Source organism: Homo sapiens, chromosome Y, assembly GCF_000001405.40.
Source record: "Homo sapiens chromosome Y, GRCh38.p14 Primary Assembly".
Taxonomy (NCBI): Eukaryota; Metazoa; Chordata; class Mammalia; order Primates; family Hominidae; genus Homo; species Homo sapiens.
Window position 1 is genome coordinate 12,426,359 of NC_000024.10, and position 20,935 is coordinate 12,447,293.

A 20,935-nucleotide genomic window follows, 5' to 3' on the forward strand; every position below is an offset into this window, starting at 1 on the left:
AGCAAGACTCTGTCTCAAACAACCACAAAAAAAAATCAAAAACAGATGTTTGTGCCAAGCTATTTCATTGCACAAAATGATTGTGACAAAGTTCTAAGAATTGAAGACAAGTACAGGATGAGGGAACACATTTGCGATACACAGAACATGCATCTATATGTATGTGTGTGGGTCACAATTGCAATTACTACTCAATATTTTATATTTTGATAATGATTAACATGATAATATATAAAGAACTACATTGGCAAACAACTTGACACAAAAATAAGCAAATAATTTGCAGCACATGCTGCTGGCTACCCAGTCAACCATTATTTTTCCTTATTGTTGGTGGAGCCTGTATTTTTTCCCAGGGTTCCTTCATGCTTTCTCACCTGATCCCTTTATTTATTTATTTATTTATTTGAGAGGGAGTCTCACTTTTTTGACCAGGCTGGAGTGAAATGTGAAATGGCACAATCTTGGCTCACTGCAACCTCCACCTCCTGGGTTCAAGTGACTCTCCTGCCTCAGCCTCCCAAGCAGCTAGAAATATAGGCGCCCACCACTATGCCTGGCTGATTTTGTATTTTCAGTAGAGACGAGTTTTTACCATGTTGGCCAGGTTGGTCTTGAACTCCTGACCTTAGGTGATCCTCCTGACTCAGCCTCCCAAAGTGTTGGAATTATAGTCATGAGCTGCCATGGCTGGCCTACACCTGATTACTTTTAGTTAGGGGCTGTGTGTAAATCAGGGATGAGGAATTGGGGGTGATACCTGAAAGAATGTCTTTGTTTTTAAAAGAGAAAATCTGAGAGGAAATGATCTTAACTGGGCCTCCGGATATTAGTGGATGAGGCTGTGATGTCTGGAGGTACAGCAGCTTCTGCCATGAGTGAAGTGGGCCAATGACATATGAAACACAGGACTGCAAGACACAGGGAACTGGCTACTGGAGGACATTGTTAAGCCCTCAAATTGATCCAGCCCAGAGGTCCTGAATCTAAGTACATCTTGTTACGGATGCTGTCTTTATTGCTTCAACCATTTTGAGTTGGCAGAGATAGAAAAGGACTGAGGCAGTCAGACAGGGAGGGAGACTGATAAAACTGCAGAGATTTCAGGGGGAAACTGCCATCATTTATAAAATCGAGCAGAAATTGTGAAACATGTTGGTCACAGAATTCCTTTGCCTTCTTTTTTTGTTTTGTTTTGAGACAGAGTCTCGCTCTGTCTTGCCCAGGCTGGAATGTAGTGGCATGATCTTAGCTCACTGCAAACTCCACCTCCCAGGTTCAAGCAATTCTCCTATCTCAGCCTCTCAAGTAGCTGTGATTACAGGCACATGCCGCCACACACAGCTAATTTTTGTATTTTTAGTAGTGACAAGGTTTCACCATGTTCGCCAGGTTGGTCTTGAATTCCTGACCTCAGGTGATCTGCCTGCCTCAACCTCCCAAAGTGCTGGGATTACAGACATCAGCCATAGTGTCTGATCACCTGGACCCATTTAGATTAAATAAGTTTACTGAGGCTCCAGAGGAAGGTCTTCAGGACTCAGACCTTAGTTATAGATTAGAAGGAGTTAATCACTGTTTTTAGATGAATGCACACTTACACGTAGACATACAACTTAGAAGGTATAGAAGCTCTAGAGAACTTTGTAATTTTGAGTTAGTCTGGCTGTAATGTCCAGGCCTTCTCCATATAACTGGTTACAGAAATAAACTTCCTTCTCTCCTAGTTCATCTGCATCTTGTTTTTGGGCCACCAGAATAAGCATCCCGACCCTTGGTTTAGTTCAGGAACAAAAATTCAAACCGGAGTATGACAAATTATCAACTTGAACCTGGGAGGTGGAGGTTGCAGTGAGCCAAGGTTGTGCCACTCTATTCCAGCCTGGGCGACAGAGTGAGACTCCATCTCAAAAATAAATAAATAAATAAATAAGTTATTTTAATAGCTTATTTTTCTCATTTTCCTACTAACGTACAAGGAATAGCAAATAGCATTGTTATTATCTATTACTCCTACTGGCAGTAGGTCTTCCTAATTAGAACATTATTTACTTCATTAGCTTTCTAAAATGCTATATTTTGATAGACTGCTTTATCATTTTCTGGGTGAAATAATAAATTATTCTTCATTTTCCAGATATAAAAGGATTACTTCTAAAATCACATTAAATGGAGAATAATTTAATGAAAGTAATCAATTTTAAAAAGATTGTAGGCTTTTGTAATGTTCAAAATACCTATTTTTTTCTCTTTTAGAGACAAGGTCTCACTCTGTTCCTCAGGCTGGAGTGCAGTGGCACAATCATAGCTCACTGCAGCCTTGACCTCCTGGGCTCAAGTGATCTTCCTGCCTCAACCTTCCAAGTAGCTATAACTACAGGTACACACCACTGCATCCAGCTTATTTTTACAATATTTTTGTAGAGATGAGGTCTTGCTTTGTTACCCAGGCTGGTCTCCAACTGCTGGCCTCAAGTGATTCTTCCATCTTGGCCTCCCAAAGTGCTGGGATTACAGACATGAGCCACTGTACCCAGCCTGAAAAATCTAATTTTTAACAGATCTTTGGGGATATATGAATTTTAGTGTGGTCACCCCTTGTAAAATTTTTAGTATTTTAATCATTAAATTTAGTGACAATTAATATCCAAAACTCCCTCTTTTTTATTTTGAATATTTTGTGAAATTGTTGTACAGCTTATTTTAAAAGAACTTTCATACTACAGACCTAAGAATAATACATTGAAAAAAATAAAATTTCTGAAGCTATAAGGACAACAGCTGCAAGGCCTCCTTAATACAATATATTGTTTTTATTTTTACAGGAGATACACACACATACACGTAATATACATATTTTTCCTTTTGCACAAAAATGTTGTGATTAAAGCTTGAATGTCATTAGAATCACAAGATAACACAAGTGTCCTCCTTAGCTAAACTAATGAGCCTATTTCCATTTGGATTTTTGCACCCCAATATTTTTTTTCTCTGCAGCCTCAAGGTCTCATTTGCAGAGAAAAGTTATGAAATGAAACAAAATCCATTGTCCTCACCACAAAACATGACTTCTGCACAGAAAACATACAGTAGGAAAAGTCTGAACTCTTTAGCAGGTCCTCAAAGGCAAAAAATGGCATCTGTGGATTCAAGAGGCAAGTATCACCTTGACTCAAATCCTTCATAGAACTGCAGAATCCCTCACTTTATCCATTTGAAGGAAAACTCTCAACCCTGTAGTTTGGATCAATGAAGCCTAGCAAACAGAACAGCTGCCACTTTTGCACGGTTCTCTAAGAAGATGTGTTTTAGATCTGTCAGATAGCATTGAAAAATCTCCTCTAGGTCTGGGTCGGTTGTCAGAATGATAAATTTCAGAAAAACCAAGCTGCCCACTTCTGACTGTTTTGAACTTCATAGTAGAAAATAATATCAGAATCTTGCCATCTGCTATTTCTACCAAACCAGGGCAGCTTTCCAAAACTGGTGTCTCATCACAAGTTTATGGGTGAAAAGAATCAAATTTCCTTCCCTTCCTTCCTTCCTTCCTCCTTCCTTCCCTCCTTCCTTCCTTCTTTCCTATGTACCTTTTAATAGTCTCACTCTGTTACCCAAGCTGGAGTGCAGTGGTGCTATCACAGCTTACTATGGTCTTGAATTTCCGTGTTCAAGTGATCCTCCCACGTAGCTGGGACTATACAGGTGTGCACTACGACGCCCAGCTAATTTTTTACTTTTTACTAGAGATGGGGTCTCCCTATGTTGCCCAGGCTGGTCTTGAACTCCTAGGCTCAAGCAATCCTCTCACCTAGGCCTCCCAAAGTGCTGGGATTACAGGTGTGAGCCACTACACCCAGCCTAAATTTTTGGAAAACTATACCAAAGCCACTAATTTTTCAGGGTTAGTTATTACCTTCAAATGACACTTAACTGACATTTCTGACCATCTAAATGAACTTAACTGAAAAAAAATCAAGGGCTGTATGAAAATAGCATGTACTGAAAACCTTGATGGGTTCAGAGCAAGAATTTGCTTTTGGTGAAAAGAATTACATGGTTCACTGCTGATGGTTTTAGAATTTGAATCCTAAAGAACTGTTAAAATGAGCAGGACTATATCTGTGCATGCATGAAAAGAAAAGTCATTGTTTCAAAATACTAGACAGGAAAAAGTTTGATGGTATTTGAAATCCAGTGGCCCTATCACAATACAGTTCAACATGACATTAATCAATGAGTAAAATGGAAAGACGTATGAGATTTAACAGTCTCACTTAAGATGGCAATAAAAGATGGTGTGAATGAAAATTTCCGTTTTCATAGATGCATAAACCTGATTTCCCAAGAAGCCAATGGATGCAAAGAAAGAGTGAGTGGATTTAATGAACAAACACAAACAATATTAGAAAATACTTGCTGAAGACAGATCAGACTGCCATTCTTGGAGATGATGCAGTGGATAGTGAGCCCTTGTCATTGAGTATAAATGCATTAGAAGGTGGAGAATTGCTAGAAATCAGAAGGAAAGTTGATGAAACTGATTTATGTGTTAAGGTAAATTAGTCTTTAAAATCTCTGGAAGAAAAAGCAATGAAATTTACACATAATTATCTGAAAGTGGATAAAATAACAGTATACAGATTGTATGAAAAGTCTCCAAAATGAACAAGACAGAAAACACACACACAATTTGAAAGTCAAATTCCAAAATGTCTGCAAAAACATAAAGTCTTAGTAAATTGTACTCCCCCCATCAACATAATGAATGATCAGCAAAGATTGAAGGTGAATTTACCCTGGAAAGAAGAAGGAGAATCTTTCCCAAGCAGCTGAAAAGATCATCTATTCATTCAGGGAAATGAATGCCTATGGAATTCAAGCAAAAATTCTTCCAGCAAAAAAATATCAGAAAGAACTACTGATTTTTAGCAATTACCCTGAGAGGATAAAGCTCATCTTGTTTGAAGACTTAATGAGAAAACTTGGGGACTTGTTTAACTTAAGAAAATGTATGTATCGGGAAAAAAAATTGAGGGGGAAATTAAAATTTTCAAAAAGTATCTTTATGTTCTTGGTGTTCAAGTAAAGCAAGGATTGGTGGATGTGTAAAGATTCTCACAGAGCTCCCAGGAATTCTTTGGATAACTGGATCCCCAAGAAAAATTTAAATTTAGATTATTCCTCAGTTATTTTTCGCATGCAAAAAACACAGGGAAAGGATTCCTCCATTAGACCTACTGGGTCCTGATAGCAATTTCTCCCCAAATGCAGGACTGACTCACCGTGGTGTTCCTCATCCTGGAAGACAATTTTTCGTTAAATCATGACAGTATCTTTCAGCTTCAGAAATAGAGGTAACTCATCATTTGCCAGAGTGCAGTCATGTGACTTCACCTACCCACAAGGGATGCTGGGAAATGTAGTTGAGCTGGGGAACCATGACCGCAGTTCCATACACTAGAAATACAGCACTGTTGAAATTATTAAGACAGAAAGAAGAGATTTGGGTGGACAACGTGTGCATTCTCTAAGACTCCGTGTTTTTAGTTAGGTTGAGCAGCCTTGGCTTCATGGTCTTGACTTCTGAAACAATTCTTTTATTTTTATTTGTATTTTAAGTTCCAGAGTACATGTGCAGGAAGTGCAGGTTGTTACATAGGTAAATGTGTGTCATGGTGGTTTGCTGCATCTATCAACCTACCCTCTAGGTATTAAGCCCAGCATGCATTAGCTATTTTTCCTGATGCTCTCCCTCCCCACACTCCACCTGCCAACAGGCCCCAGTGTGTTTTGTTCCCCTCCCTGTGTCCATGTGTTCTCATTGTTCAGCTCCCACTTACAAGTGAGAACATGCAGTGTTTGGTTTTCTGTTCTTGCATAAGTTTGCTGAGGATAATGGCTTCCAGTTCCATCCATGTCCCTACAAAGGACATGATCTCATTCCTTTTTATAGCGGCATATATATATACATATGCACACACACAGACACGTGTGTGTGTGTGTGTACCACATTTTCTTTACCCAGTATATTACTTTACCCAGTAAAGTACCACATTTTCTGTGTAAGTACCACATTACCCAGAAAAGTACCACATTACCCAGTAAAGTACCACATTTTCTTTACCCAGTATATTACTGGTGGGCATTTAGTTTGATTCTATGTCTTTGCTATTGTGAATAGTGCTCCAATGAACATACACATGCATGTATCTTTGTAATAGAATGGTTTATATTCCTTTGGGTATACACCCAGTAATGAGATTGCTGGGCGGAATAGTATTTCTGGGTCTAGATCTTTGAGGAATCACCACACCATCTTCCACAACGGTTGAACTAGCTTCCATTCCCACCAACAGTGTAAAAGTGTTTCTATTTCTCCACCATCTCGCCAGCATCTGTTGTTTCTTGACTTTTTAATAATCACCATTCAGACTGGTGTGAGATGTTATCTCACTGCGGTTTTGATTTGCATTTCCTTAATGATCAGTGATGTTATGTTGAGCTTTTTTTCATGTTTGTTGCTTTTGAGCCAATCCTAAGAAATGCTCTATGTATTTCGATGAGATTGATTTTATTTACACTAACAGAAAAGCTTGTTTTTTTCCCCAACCCCTGGGCAGCCCTTACTGCCTCCCAGGCACCACTGAGAATGCTTTTCACACATTAAGTCATTTCTTTCTTTTTTCTTCCTTTGTGACAGGGTCTCTCACTCTTTCACCCCAGCTGAAGTGCAGTGGTATGATCTCCATTTACTGAAACTTTGACCTCCCAGGTTCAAGTGATTCTTCTGCCCCAGCCTCCCAACTAGGTGGCATGCACAACCATGCCCAGCTAATTTTTTTGTATTTTTGGTAGACACGGAGTTTCACCATGTTGGCCAGGCTGGTCTCAAACTCCTGACCTCAGGTGATCCACCTGCCTTGGCCCCCCAAAGTGCTAGGATTACAGGCATGAGCCACCATGCCCAGTCTTCACACATTAAGTCTTATATCCTCAACACATCTTGGAGAGGAAGATCTTCTTAGCATACCTCTCCTTTGTTGCCCCCAAATGGGATAACCATGGCCCAGAGAGGTTGTATAACTTGCCTAAGTGTGCACACCTTGAAATGGAGAAACCAGGTTGTGAATCTGTAAATTGAGTGTCAGAGTCTGGAATTTAACCCTGAGTAATCTTGCGTACTACCTCTACAGGCAAGCTAAACTAATTCCTCATCATTTTTGTTTAATTAGGGGGAAGAAACATGTACACAGCATGTGTTAACGTATATATTCATTCCCTGGAACTGCTATAGCAAAGTATTGCAAACTGAGTGGCCTAAACAATGGACATTTGTTTATTCTTGCACAGTTCTGGGGGCCAGAAGTACAAAACCAGGGTGTCTGCAAGGCTGTGCTCCCTCTGAAGTCTCTAGGGAAGGATCTGTTCCAGGGTCCTCTTGCTCTTTGGGTTGTTCTCTGGCTTGTAGTAACATCACTCTACAGCCTTCTCCTTGTGTGACTACCTGTATCCAAATCCCACATTCTTATAAAGACACCAGGCATGTGGGATTAGGAACTCACCTCACTCCAGTATAACCTCATTTCAATAAACTAATTACCTCTGCAATAGACTTATTTTCAATAAGGCCACATTCTGAGGTGCCAGGGGTTAGGACTTCAACATATGAATTTGAGGGGACATAATTCAACTCATATCAGTGTGTTAATACTGTGCTTGTGTATGTGTGTGTGTTTGTATGTGGTGTGTTTCTGTGTGTAACTGGATATTCCAATTCCAGTAGTCAAAGGCAAATCAGCAGAATCATACTTTCCTCGCCCCCAAAACCAGAAGAATTTCATATAGTGGTTTATACTTGGACAAAAAAAGTTGTTATTTTTTCATCTGTGTAGAAAAAGTTAAACAAAAATATAGCTCGTATATTTGTCATTTTCCTCTTCACCCTACTAAAATTAGTCATGTCTTCTCTTCATTCCAACGTGAAGATATTTATCCATTGACCACCAAATGCATTCAAGTCCCCACAAAGAGAAGGTAAGTGTGGCTTTTAACATTATACAATTGACCCTTGAACAATGTGGGGTAGTGACGGGAATTGACCCTCCGCACAGTTGAAAGCCCATGTATAACTTTTGACTCTCCAAAAACTTAACTACTCATAGCATACTGTTTGACTGAAAGCCTTGCTGATAACAGTTGAACACATATTTTGTATATGTATTACATACCATATTATTACAGTAAAGTAAGCTAAAGAAAATGTTATGAAGAAAATCATAAGGAAGATAAAATTAATGAATTTACTATTTATTAAGTGGAAGCGGATCACCATAAAGGTCTTCATCCTTATCATCTTCCCATTGAGTAGATGGAGGGTTGGTCCTGCTGTCTCAGTAATGGCAGAGCCAGAAGCAAACTCACATATAGGTGGACCTGTGCAGTTCAGCCCTGTGTTGTTCAAGGGTCAGCTGTACAGTCAAGGTTATCCTTCTCTAAAATACATGGAGATGACGTTTTATCAAGGCTTTTCTCATCTGTTCAATTCTCACCTTCTCAGCATGAAAACAGAATGTCCAGCAGGTGGTCCTCATGACCCCTCAAAGAGAGGTTCCCCCAAGCAATCATGATTCAAATATTTTCATCTTAAGTAGCTTGAACGTTAGCCTTGTCACCCAGGTGAATTTAGTCTCATGATTAGGTAACTATGTATTTCATATGTTCATAGAGCTATATGTTATATATTTATATCTTGAGCTTTAAAACAGATTTGTTGCATCATATTCACAGCTATGAAGGTTCATAATTTTGGGGCCACTTCTACAGTCATTTCATAAAATTTATTTGTGAGATATAGAAAAAGCTATGCAATAATCAAATCCATTTATTTTTCTTTTACGTTTATTTAAAATGATTAAAAATGGTTTATGATAGTTTTAGAAAATGGAATGGATTAAAGGCTAAAAGTGTTTAGATTCCATTTAAGTAGGTATGTATGTGTGTACGTAACTAAAAGCACAGAGACTTATTCACAAGAATTTAATTAAGCTCATGCTGAAACTCTTATAGAGAAAACAGTAATTGAGCATCAGACATCACCACTCCTGAAAAAAACCTTCTACAAGAATTGAAAAGTGTTGCAGGACCTAATACTGAAATAGGAAATATGGACTATCTTCAAATTGCACAAATGATGCATGAATCTACATTTGAGACCCGCAACTCCGAGATACCTAATGTGAATGATTAAAGATATTTTACAAACCGGGGAGCTCTTTCAAGTGCTTTCCACTTTCAACCTTCTCTCTTTGAAGATCCCAATTCATATTGGTGAGCATAAAACATGCATACTGGGAATTTTTATGGGCCCCATATATACATTCCAGACTGTACATGAATGTCTTCATCTTTGGTTCTGATATTTATGGCAAAGTCTAAATGTTATATGAACATTAACCTTAGTTTACTCAAATTATACCAATATGCCCAAACCATCATTTTTCCGTACCCACAAGTGTTTCTAAAAGGGAAGGAAAAAGCTGGTACACTTCTTGGATGCCTAAGGATTTAAGATTTCCTACTCTGATGAATAGAAAAAGTATAAACCAAGGAATGCAATGTTGGTGCCTTAGGAACTAGTACTTACAGAGTATCAAAGACTAAAAACACTACAAAAAGGCTCAATGCCTGATAATCGCCATTTCTGTCTCCTATGTGCCAAAACATATCAAAACCATATGATTTCCTAGGAAAAAGTATCCCAAGATTTGCCCCAGATGGTTTTAACATCAGTCGTTTTGCACTTAACATTTCAAAATGCAGCCTTATTTTCTTCAGGTAATAATAATTTTATGTGCAGATATATCAAAGCTGAAAGGATGATCAAACCCTGCTTGTGGGTGTCAGAAATAATGCATCCCCACTTCACTGGCAATAATGAATGCTCAATGATTTTTTATATCACTGAAGAATTTAGCATCTTTGGAACCTCAACAATATTCTTCATCTCCCAGAAGCTGATAACATCCCCTCCCCACCAAGATACTCTGCCTCCCTACTGCTCACCGCTTTGTGCCATCAACATGGTTAAGCGTGTGTGTGTTATTGCACCATGAGGTAGCTGAAGATCTCACAACAGAGAGCCACAGTCTCTTTGTGCAAATCAATGGCCAAACCAACATTGCAAGCAATCCTTTTTTAGAATGCAGGGTCTAGCTGCCTAACTTATCTTTATAACCACATCACATTCAATGAGTTGGGAATGCTTAGTGAGAAAGCTCACGTACTTCACACAGAAGAAAACACACTTTAAGACATCAAGTTGTGTCAAGAATAAAAGGAAATTTCCACAACAGTGATAAACAGCCTTCTTGTTTTAGTTGTTTTTCCTCTAAGTAATCAGGGGATCTTAACATCTTCAGACATTTTCTGGTTCTGAAAGGAAGACTGGAAATAAATGACACTGTGGGGACAAAAAAAAAGTCTATTAAACAAAGTAAAAGAAAACCAAGATCCAACTCTATGTTGTTACAAGAGACGCTTGCTATATATTTAGAGCAAGAATATTTAGCAGAAGGAAGATTAGAACAGAAAAAAATACAGCAGAAATGAAGTTGCACATCTTAAATATATACAATGTTTGTTTATTATGCTTTAAAAAAATCTAGAAGAATGAAAAATCTATTTAAAAAAAAAGAAAACCAAGATCCAACTATGTGCTGTCTATATGACATTTGCCTTACTTTCAGCAGAAGGAAATAGATTAGAAAAAATAAATTATGCAAAAATGAAGCTGTGCATCTTAAATATATACAATGTTTATTTGTCAATTATACCTTAATAAAGCTGGAAAAATTAAAAATAGAAAATATTTGGGCCAGGCGCGGTGGCTCACACCTGTAGTCCCAACACTTTGGGAGGCCAAGGCAGGCAGATCACAAGGTCAGGGGATCGAGACCATCCTGGCTAACACAGTGAAATGCTGTCTCTACTAAAAATACAAAAAATCAGCCAGGCATGGTAGTGGGTGTCTGTAGTCCCAGCTACACAGGAGGCTGAGGTAGGAGAATGGCGTAAACCCGGGAGGCAGAGCTGGCAGTGAGCCGAGATCCAGCCACTGCACTCTAGCCTGGGCAACAGAGCAAGACTCCGTCTCAAAAAAAAAAAAAAAAGAAAGAAAGAAAATATTTAAAAATTGTTAAAATCATATCTGGAAATAAATATTAGTTTTCAAAACATTGTTTTTTTACATTTTGCCATTTGTTAAGGATTTTGATGATCTTAAATGAATTGAGTAACTTTCTTTTTGGTTAAAACTAATATTTGTAGGAAATTCTTTTTTAGAATATGGCCTTGTTGGTCTTTATAACTTCTGAAGTGATGTTGTCATTTGCTCCACTTTATAAAATAAAAGCAAAGTATGATTCTTAAAAGTCCACATCAAGTGACAGACATCTGCTTCTATCTGTGCAGCTCTGTTACTACAACTCTTTCTCTACAAAGTGTGCAAGCTTCAGTGTATGGCCTCAGCATGTACACAGTTCCACAGGTTGTGCACTGCATCACATCACCGTGGATATGGTTAGTATACCATGTACGTCATCCTTTAGGAGACAGAGAAAATTAATGACCTAACTAAGGAGAAGTGGACAGCTGGGTACCATTAGCAGCAGCCTGGAACTTTAGAGTCAAGTTCGCAGAGCTCTGAGCCCCATTTGATACCAAACCCATATGTATTTGCTGTCATGCACATATTTCCTAGATAGTATAAAGGCTTTACAGCCAGCGAGGTGATATAGGCCCAGGATCCACATAAATGTCACTGCTCACCCTTGAAGAGATCTCCCTAACATCAGCTCACTCTGTCTACATCCTCCTTTCTGATCTCAGGAACTTTAAGGGAGGGGAAGATAAACTTGGTGCTTGGGAATACCTGGTGAGGGTATCATCGAAGTACAATGGAGAAAGTAGACAAAAATACTTACCAGGCAGCCAAAAGGCATGAAAGAGCTTCAAGACATTATACCTCTTTAGCAAAAAAGTGCTTCCACCTCAGATAAATGGGGCATGCATCATCCACGTTTTTAAAACTACACCTATTTCAGAAACTCAACTGGCCCCCATTCCAATGATTTTCCTTTTAAAATATTGCACTAAAATATATTTGTCTTATTGAGTTTGTGGGGGACCCCTGTACCCCGCCCTTATATTTTGTGCTTGTGGAGACTGCCTCTCTCTGCTTATTCAGTTTCAGCCCTTGGTTGACAAAGGCTTACAAATCACTGCCACGAAGGCTACTGAAATTAACACATGGTGTTCGTTAATGATGGCTGCCACGTTGGGTGAAAGAGTGTTGTCACTGAACCCAAGAATCTGCTCTCAGATTGCCAGGAAAATAAGGCAGTTTTTCAGTAACTCAGTTTCCTCCTAAAATTTCAGGACAGGGCATAACATAGATGGAGGCTTACCCCAAACAGAGGTTCATTAGCTAACGGTTGATACTGCCCATTCACCAGCAGAGAGAGCGCATGGGAAGGTTTTAGGATTTTTGAGGCCAAATGCAAATCCTAAAGCAAACACCGTAGGAATGGGCACCCCTTTCTGGTTTCCTTCGGGGACACAAAGAAGGTATGAGTTAGAGGGCCCTGGGCAAACTCCAGACAGATTCTGACGTGGGTGGCCTGAGGTTTAAACCAAGCCTCCAGAGACACCCAGTTAAAGATCTGAGTCACTCTTTAGGCTATAAAACAATCCCTGACAATCCCTGACTGTTGTTTCAGAGATTTCTTTAGGGCATCCTCTGCTCTCAAATCCCAAGTGATTCTTCAAACCCAGGAGTGTGGAGCCGGCATTGAACCAGGAAGCCACAGCAGATCTTTCTTCTCTCCTATGGTCTGAGCACACCTTCTGAATTTCAGAGAGGCTTATAATTTAGTGTTTTGGTAGTTTTCTTTGTGGGTGGGGTTCTGTGCAAAACATTCACATTCAACCCAGATATTTTTCGTGACCCACCTGTGACGAAAATTTCACTGAATACAAAACAGGACTATATTTGATTAGTTCAATCAACTATCATGCTTTAGTCCTGCAATGTAGGTTAGTAATTTTTTTGTTTGTTTCTTTTTCTTTCCTTTTTTTCTCCCTCTCTTTTACATTAGACAGATAACGTGCCAGCGTCATTGTAACAAGGTTTAGAGGAAGGTACAGACTACACCTGACCATGAAAACCAAATCGTTGACCAGGCACGGTGGCCCATGCCTGTAATCCCAGCACTTGGGGAAGCCAAGGCAGGCAGATAATCACTTGAGGTCAGGAGTTCAAGAACAGTCTGGCCAACATGGGGAAACCCCATCTCTACAAAAAATACACAAATTAGCCAGGCATGGTGGTGCATGACTGTATTCCCAGCTCTTCAGGAGGCTGAGGCAAGAGAATCTCTTGAACCCAACCCAGGAGGTAGAGATTGCAGTGAGCCGAGATCATGCCACTGCACTCCAGCCTGGGCAACAGAGTGAAACTCTGTCTCAAAAAAAAAATAAATAAATTTTTAAAAATCACATTATTGGGCAAGTTATGTATATTGAACTTAACCAGGAATAACTTTGCTAGTGACAGACATCCAAAAGTAATTTTTAAAATAAAAAATCAGGCATCGTAACAAGGAAAACAATGTTTAGAGCCAAAGTTACCATGGGTCCTGAAACAAATTCCTCCTATTGTTTAGTTTGGAATAACTGGCTGCTGCTCCCATCAGTGTCACCACCACCATGGATATGATGGAAGACACAATTTTTGCTACCATATTGCCTGCAGGAGTGGAGAAAAAGCAAGCTCATCTGAGAAAAAAATATGGCTGCAGGAAAACTGCTTAAATATTAGATTGGTCCAAAAGTTATTACGGTTTTTGCCATTGAAAGTAATGACAAAAACTGCAATAACTTTTGCACCAATCTAATAACATCTCCATCACATCCCTTCCCACCCTTGTACCCACAGAAAAAAAAAAAGAGAAAGTTAATTTAAAAAAAAAAAAACCTTAGGAAGTAATTCTGTTTTCACAAAGAGCCAAGCTTGTCAACCACATCTTATCACTGAAGACATCCAAGGCCAGGATTTGCACAGACGAGGCACTTGGTATTTTTGTTTGTTGAATTCAATTCATGTATGCCTTTTAATTAATTTTATTTATTTATTTATTTATTTATTTATTATTTTCTGAGAAGGAATCTTGCTCTGTCGCCCAGTCTGGCATACAGTGGCGTGATCTCGGCTCACTGCAATCTCTACTTCCCATGTTCAAGTGATTCTCCTGCCTCAACCTTTCAAGTAGCTGGGACTACAGGTGTATGCCATCACGTCCAGCTAATTTTTGTATTTTTAGTAGATGCAGGGTTTCACCATGTTGGCCAGGCCGGTCTCGAACTCCTGACTTCAGGTGATCCACTCACCTGGGTCTCCCAAAGTGCTGGGACTACAGGCACAAGCCACCACGCCTGGCCTGATTTATTTTTTTAGAGATGGGGTCTCACTATGCCGCCTAAGCTGGTCCTGAACTCCTGGGCTCAAGTGATCTTCCTGCCTCAGCCTCCTGAGTAGTTGGGATGACAGGCACATGTCAAAACTATTTTGTGCCTTTTTAGATGTAGAATGCCCACTCATGCAAAAATATTGTTCCACTAAAAACTGCCAGATAGGCTTGCTTTCAAAGGCATGCTGGAACTCTAGACCCAAGCACACACTAGACACAAGCATCCTCAATGCCTCGATGGCAAATTGCTCCAGAGCTTTGGCACTCCTGCACAAAGAACAAGAAGGAGCTTGATGTGACAAAAATCAACACTTCCAAAGGGAAAAAAGGAAGAAATCACTGTTTCCATTTGAAATAGCCACCCTTTCCATGCATGGCTTTCTTCAGACAGGGTTGAACACATGGGCCAATACATGGCATGGCATAGGTGAGGGACACAAGACTGCTCCAAGAATGAGGCTGCCATGTTGGGGGGAAGAGTGTTGTCACTGAATGCAAGAACCTGCTCTATGGCTGATGCTGCCACCTGCCACACCCTGCCTCCTGGGAGAGACAGCCTTCTATTCTTCCCCTCCCTACATGCACACAATCCATAGTATGATTTCACAGTGTTCCCCGTCCAGAGGTGGAGCTGCATCTTCATTCTGAGAATCCAGGCTTTAGCCAACAGAATGTCACACAAGTGAAGACATGTGGCTCTAAGCCCAGGCACGCTTCTCTTCATGCTCTTGGTACCCTACCTGGTCTGTGGTGTGTGATGAAGCCTGGCCTGGCTTCCTGGAGGGATGTGAGAGTCCACATGAAGCTGAGATGAACCATTCCACCTAAGGCCCCAAATACATAAGAAGACCCAGGAAACATGGTCAAAGCGCTGGCCACACCTACAGCTGACTGCACACAAGACAAGTAGTTCAGAAGAGACCAGGAGGACCACTAGAATGGTTTCAGCCCAAATTGCTGACTCACATAATCATGAACATAGTAAATGGTGGTTATTTCCAGCCACTAAGTTTTGGGGTCTTTTGTGACACAGCATAGCTGACTGATACATACCTTTTCCTCTCTCCCATCTCTTACAAATCAGTCAAGTACAATCAATTGTCATTACCAAGTGGTCATCCAAGCTGACTGCTTCTCTTTGCCTCCCTTGCCCAGGCTTTAATTCAGCCTGTCATCATTTCCAGAGGGTACTAAACTGGTCTGAAATGGAGTCTCCCTGGGCCTTAGTGAGTCCCCTCAGGTCCATTCTTCACCTACACATCCAACAGGGGCAGGCTGTTCCCCATGAAGGTTCTAAGAAATGCAGACTTCACCTCTGCTAACCTGGTGGTCTTTCTTTGTCACCATTGCATCCTTCCCTGGTTCCCGTTGCATTCCACACTTTGGCTACACAATCTCTAGTGTCCCCATATGTGTATCCAGCTCTACCTAGCACACTATCTTCCCTGACATCTCGCTCTTCTCCTGGGCACTTCCCACCCATATTTTGGGGATTGGTTTGGATATTGTTCTCTCCAGGAAGCCCTACCTCCCTCACCTAACCCAGTCTAGGAGTATCCCTTCTGCCTTGCTACAGGATCCCATACGTTCCAGCAAATTATTCATCAGATTTGACTGCAATTACTTGTTTATTTGCCTTGCCCTTTCCATCTCTGGACCTCACTTTACACCACAGTGGGAAAAAGGTGAATCCATAAATTTGTTTAAGGATGCCAACATATCCCAAAAATATTGATACTAGTACTCTGCATGTTCATTGAAAGGTAGAGGTCACGTTCAATCACTTTCTCCTCCCCCATAATTGAAAACTCACAAGAGCCTTGGGGTTGAGTGCATTTACTCTCAACTTAAACTCAAGCAGGTGTCAGCCCAAATCTCTAAGAATATGACTCTTAGGGAATGGGGAACCTGTTCTCCCAGCAATACAGGACATAAAATCAGCCTTCTGGGCTTCAAGTTCTCCCTCCTTTGACCTGAGACGGGATTGACAGTGCATTCTGACGGCTTCTTTGGGCAGAGTGTTCATAACTTCCTTTCTCCTGTCCTTGGGTTTCAAGTTAGTGCTGGTCAAAGAAAGGGGAGTAATGGTGGTACTGGGAGAAATGTAAGTCTCAGCACTCATTCACAGCCTTGCTTTGAGAGCTAAGGGGCATCTTCTGCAGTGAAAACCAATGCTTGCCTCTCCTTTCTCTGAACTCTGATTGGTCCTGTTCTGAAGGTCAGATATTTTTATTCAGAAGCTACTTTATATACATACAAAGTATGAGTGCTCCATGAAAGTCATGAGGTTGGGAAACAGAAGCCCACACAGCTCCTCCCAGTGCTGATTTAGGAGAGTGTGCTCTTATTAAAGGTTGGGACCAGGTGAGTCAATCAGTTACCTTCTGGATTGCCATAGGTTGAATGGTGATCTCCACCTGTAAGCAGAAAAGGATGCTCGTGTTTATTCAGCAGAGCTTATGGAGGGCTTTATATTGCCGGGCACTGTTGAGGATGCAACTATGAACACAGCACACAGATCTCTGTTTTCAGGGAATTTACATTCTTGTGGGGGGAGGGGGACAGCCAAGCAGCATAAGGAGGAGGAATGTGAATGTGTATGCCATGTCTAATGGTCATTAGCGGAATGGGGATAATACCAGGGAGAGGCAGATTCAGCTTTAATTTCAGGATTGGAGAGTCTACATACATGCGCATGCAAAACACACACAGGCTGACAACCCCATGGACACACATGTACACACATACACGCCATTCATACACACTCACATGCAACACACACTGACATGCACAAATGTGTGTGCACGTGCATACACACATGCAGCATGCAACAAACGTGCAACACACAGGCAGACAAGCACACATACACATATGCACACACACATGCATTTACACACATGTGCAACATGTAAATACAAATGCAACACAGAAGCACACATGCCCTCAATGTGCACATCCACACACATGCACATCCCACATATCCCCACATACACACACATGCACATACCACACACACAGGCAACAAAAGCACATATAAAGCACAATTCGCCTAAACAAACACATGTACACATGTGTGCATATGCACACACTGATGTGTGCACATGTTAACACCTGTATGCATAAACACATGCATGTACACACAAATATGCACACACACATAAACACATTCATGTGTTTATGTGTGTGCCTGTACACATGCATGTGTACACACAATCCACATGCACAGATGCACATGATATATTCATGCAGTATGCACATACCACACGAGCACACCCAGATGCACACTCCTGCATCTATCCACATGCACACATGTGCTTGCACACCCCTAAATGTATGCATGTGAATGGACACACACGGGAAACATGCAATGCATATGCAACCCAAGCACAAACATGCACACATGCAAAATCCACAAGCACATGCCAACACATCTGTGCACATACACAAACATGCATCGCTCAATCCACATGTGTGCACACAGACACTTGCACACGTGCATATGAAATCCACATGCACTTATGCACATGATTACAAAATCCACATGCACATGTACACATGCATGCACACACAATACACACAAGCATACCTGTGTGTGAACACATATGCATACACACACACGTGCACACACATGCACCCAGTAAAACCTGTAAGTGGGCCATAGTTCCTTTCAAGAAATTAAGTCCTCAGGGCATGCACAACATCTTCCCCCAGCATGGATGACCAAGGAAAATGCAAATTAAAGACCGGAACGGCCAGTTAGTGGTTGTGCATTGGATAAAAGCATGAGCTTCACATCAGTGCAGACAGTGTGTTAGTTATTTGCAAATGGACAGTTTTGCCTCACATATTCTGTAAGACATAATTCTTTTTCCGTAAGTATTTCCATAACAAGAGTTGGGTCTATAGCCCCCTCTTCCTGCAGGATAGAAAAGAGACCATGAAATGCTAGCTATTGCTCAGGAAGTCTACGTGATCTTACAGAAACAAGCAGGTCAGCAAACCTGAAGCAAGATGCTCTTAAAGGCTGCAGAGATTCCAATGGCTCTCCCAAGGCTAGGGAAGGTGCACAGGTGCCATCTGGCCCTTGTTTACTGTTTACACTGGTGGCTGAAGGTGCATTAGATGTGCATCCCTGAGGGTCTGGAGGCCTGACATAGATGGCCAAATGTGTTTTATTTGGCATAAAACAAATGCCCACAAATGTTGGTTAAAAAAAAGAGAATAGGATGAAAACGCAGGCCATAAGTAGGAATCATAACCCATTAAAAAAAAGAGTTCCTCCAGGTTGGGTGTGGTGGCTCACACCTGTAATCCTACCACTTTGGGAGGCCAAGGCAGTAAGACCACTTGAGCTCAGTTGGAGCCCAGCCGGAGAAACATAGCAAGACCCCATTTCTACTAAAAATAAAATTTTTAAAAAATTAGCTGTGTGTGGTGATGTGCACCTGTAGTCTCAGCTACTTGGGAGACTGAGGCAAAAGATTGCTTGAACCCAGGAGGTGGAGGCTGTGATCTATGATCACATCCCTGCACTCCAGGCTGGGCTACAGAGTGAGATTTTGTCTCAGAAAAACAACAACAAAAAAGTTTTTCTATATTTTTCTAATGTGTTAAGAGCAATTTTTAAAAATACAGATTTGAGATTTTTAAAACTAATGCTTTGTGCTGATTTTGAAGTGGAACAACTTATGTGGATAGTGGGTTCTATGGGCTGAACTATATCCCCCTCCAAATTCACAGGTCGCAGTCCTAACCCCCAGGGCATCAGACTGTGGCTGTATTTGAACACAACGTCTTTAGACAGCTGATTAAAATAAAACGAGATCACTAGGGTTGGCCCTAATCCAATAGGACTACAGACCTTATAAGAAGAGGAGATGAGGACACAGACACACACAGAGGGATGACCCTGTGAGGACACAGGGAGAAGATGGTGTCTACAAGCCAAGGAGGGAGGCCTCAGGAGGAACCAGCCCTGCTCACACCTTTATCTTGGACCTCCAGCCTCTAGGACTGTGAGAGAACCAATGTCTGTTGTGTGTAAGCCACCCCGTCTATAGTATTCTGTGATAGCAGCCTGAAATGGACTAAGACATCTCATAAGAAGAGGAGATTGGAACACAGACACACACAGAGGGACGACCCTGTGAGGACACAGGGAGAAGATGGTGTCTCCAAACCAAAGAGAGAGGCCTCAGGAGGAACCAGCCCTGCCCACACCTTGATCTTGGACCTCCAGCCTCTAGGGCTGTGGGAGAATCAATGTCTGTTGTCTATAAGCCACCAGTCTATAGTATTCTGTGATAGCAGCCTGAAATGGACTGAGACATCTCATAAGAACAGGAGGTTTTAACACAGACACCCACAGAGGGACGACCCTGTGAGGACACAGGGAGATGATGATGTCGACGAGCCCAGGAGAGTGGCTTCAGGAGGAACCAGCCCTGCTCACATCTTGATCTCAGATTTCCAGTCTCCAGGACTGTGGGAGAAGAAAACCCTTTTGCTTCAGCCCTCCTGACTCTAGTAATTTACAATGGCAGCCTTAGCAGACAAGAGAAACTTGTCCACCAGTATTTAAAAACGACGAGCGCAACATTTTCTCCCCAGTCTCCGCAGGGAGGCCAGACTTTGGGCTTCCCTCCGCGGCCAGCCAAGGTCAGCCCTCACCCCTCAGTGCTCTGCATGAAGCCAGAACAAGCCTAACACTCTCTGCCTCCTTTGGGGATTCGGGGAGAAGCCGCGTGACTCATCCCATGGCGGCGGCTTGCATCCCAGCCGGCACCTCCATGCTGATGCTAATCTGAGCGCTGACTCACAGCCTCGCTCTGCCGGGGCTGGAGAGCAGGGGTCCAGGCAGGAAGGGGAGCACAGGCATCCTCAAAAACAAGCGTCATGCTCCCAAAACTGGGCTGTGCCTCATGCACGCCTGATGCTCTTGGCCCAGCTGCTGCTTCCACCGGGCCCTGGCCCTGCCAAGGACCACAGGGCTATCTGCTATATTCCGGCAGTTTTGCCCCAGGGATACAGCAGCACCCTGACCAGTAAGCTTTGATCCATTCGGGAGCCAGATAATGGTCCCCCAAAAATGGCACAGCGCAGACCTCCCGAGACTAACTTCACAGGAAAACAGGAAACGATCAGGGCTCTCAGGGGAGCCGCTTGCTGAATCATTTCTTTCTAACTGATGAGTATGCCAGAGAACAAAAGAACATGTCCTGAATAGCTCCTTACAGAGAGAAGTTTCAGAGAATCGTGCATGAGGTGAAAAGGCTCATTCGTAGGCTGTAGGGGTGTGGGGACGGCTCGCTTTATATAACACGCTCCAAGGTGGGCCGGATGTGGTGGTGCAGGCCTGTAATCCCAGCACTTATGGAGGCCAAGGTAGGAGGATCGCTTGAGCCCAGTTC

The 20,935-nt window shown here is 41.7% G+C and overlaps 1 pseudogene; it reads right to left on the reverse strand.

Moving 5' to 3' along the window:
• Positions 1–12,246: 12,246 nt before the first annotated feature.
• LOC124905301 (glycoprotein Xg-like) overlaps positions 12,247–20,935 on the reverse strand; it is a 69,005-nt pseudogene continuing 60,316 nt past the window's right edge.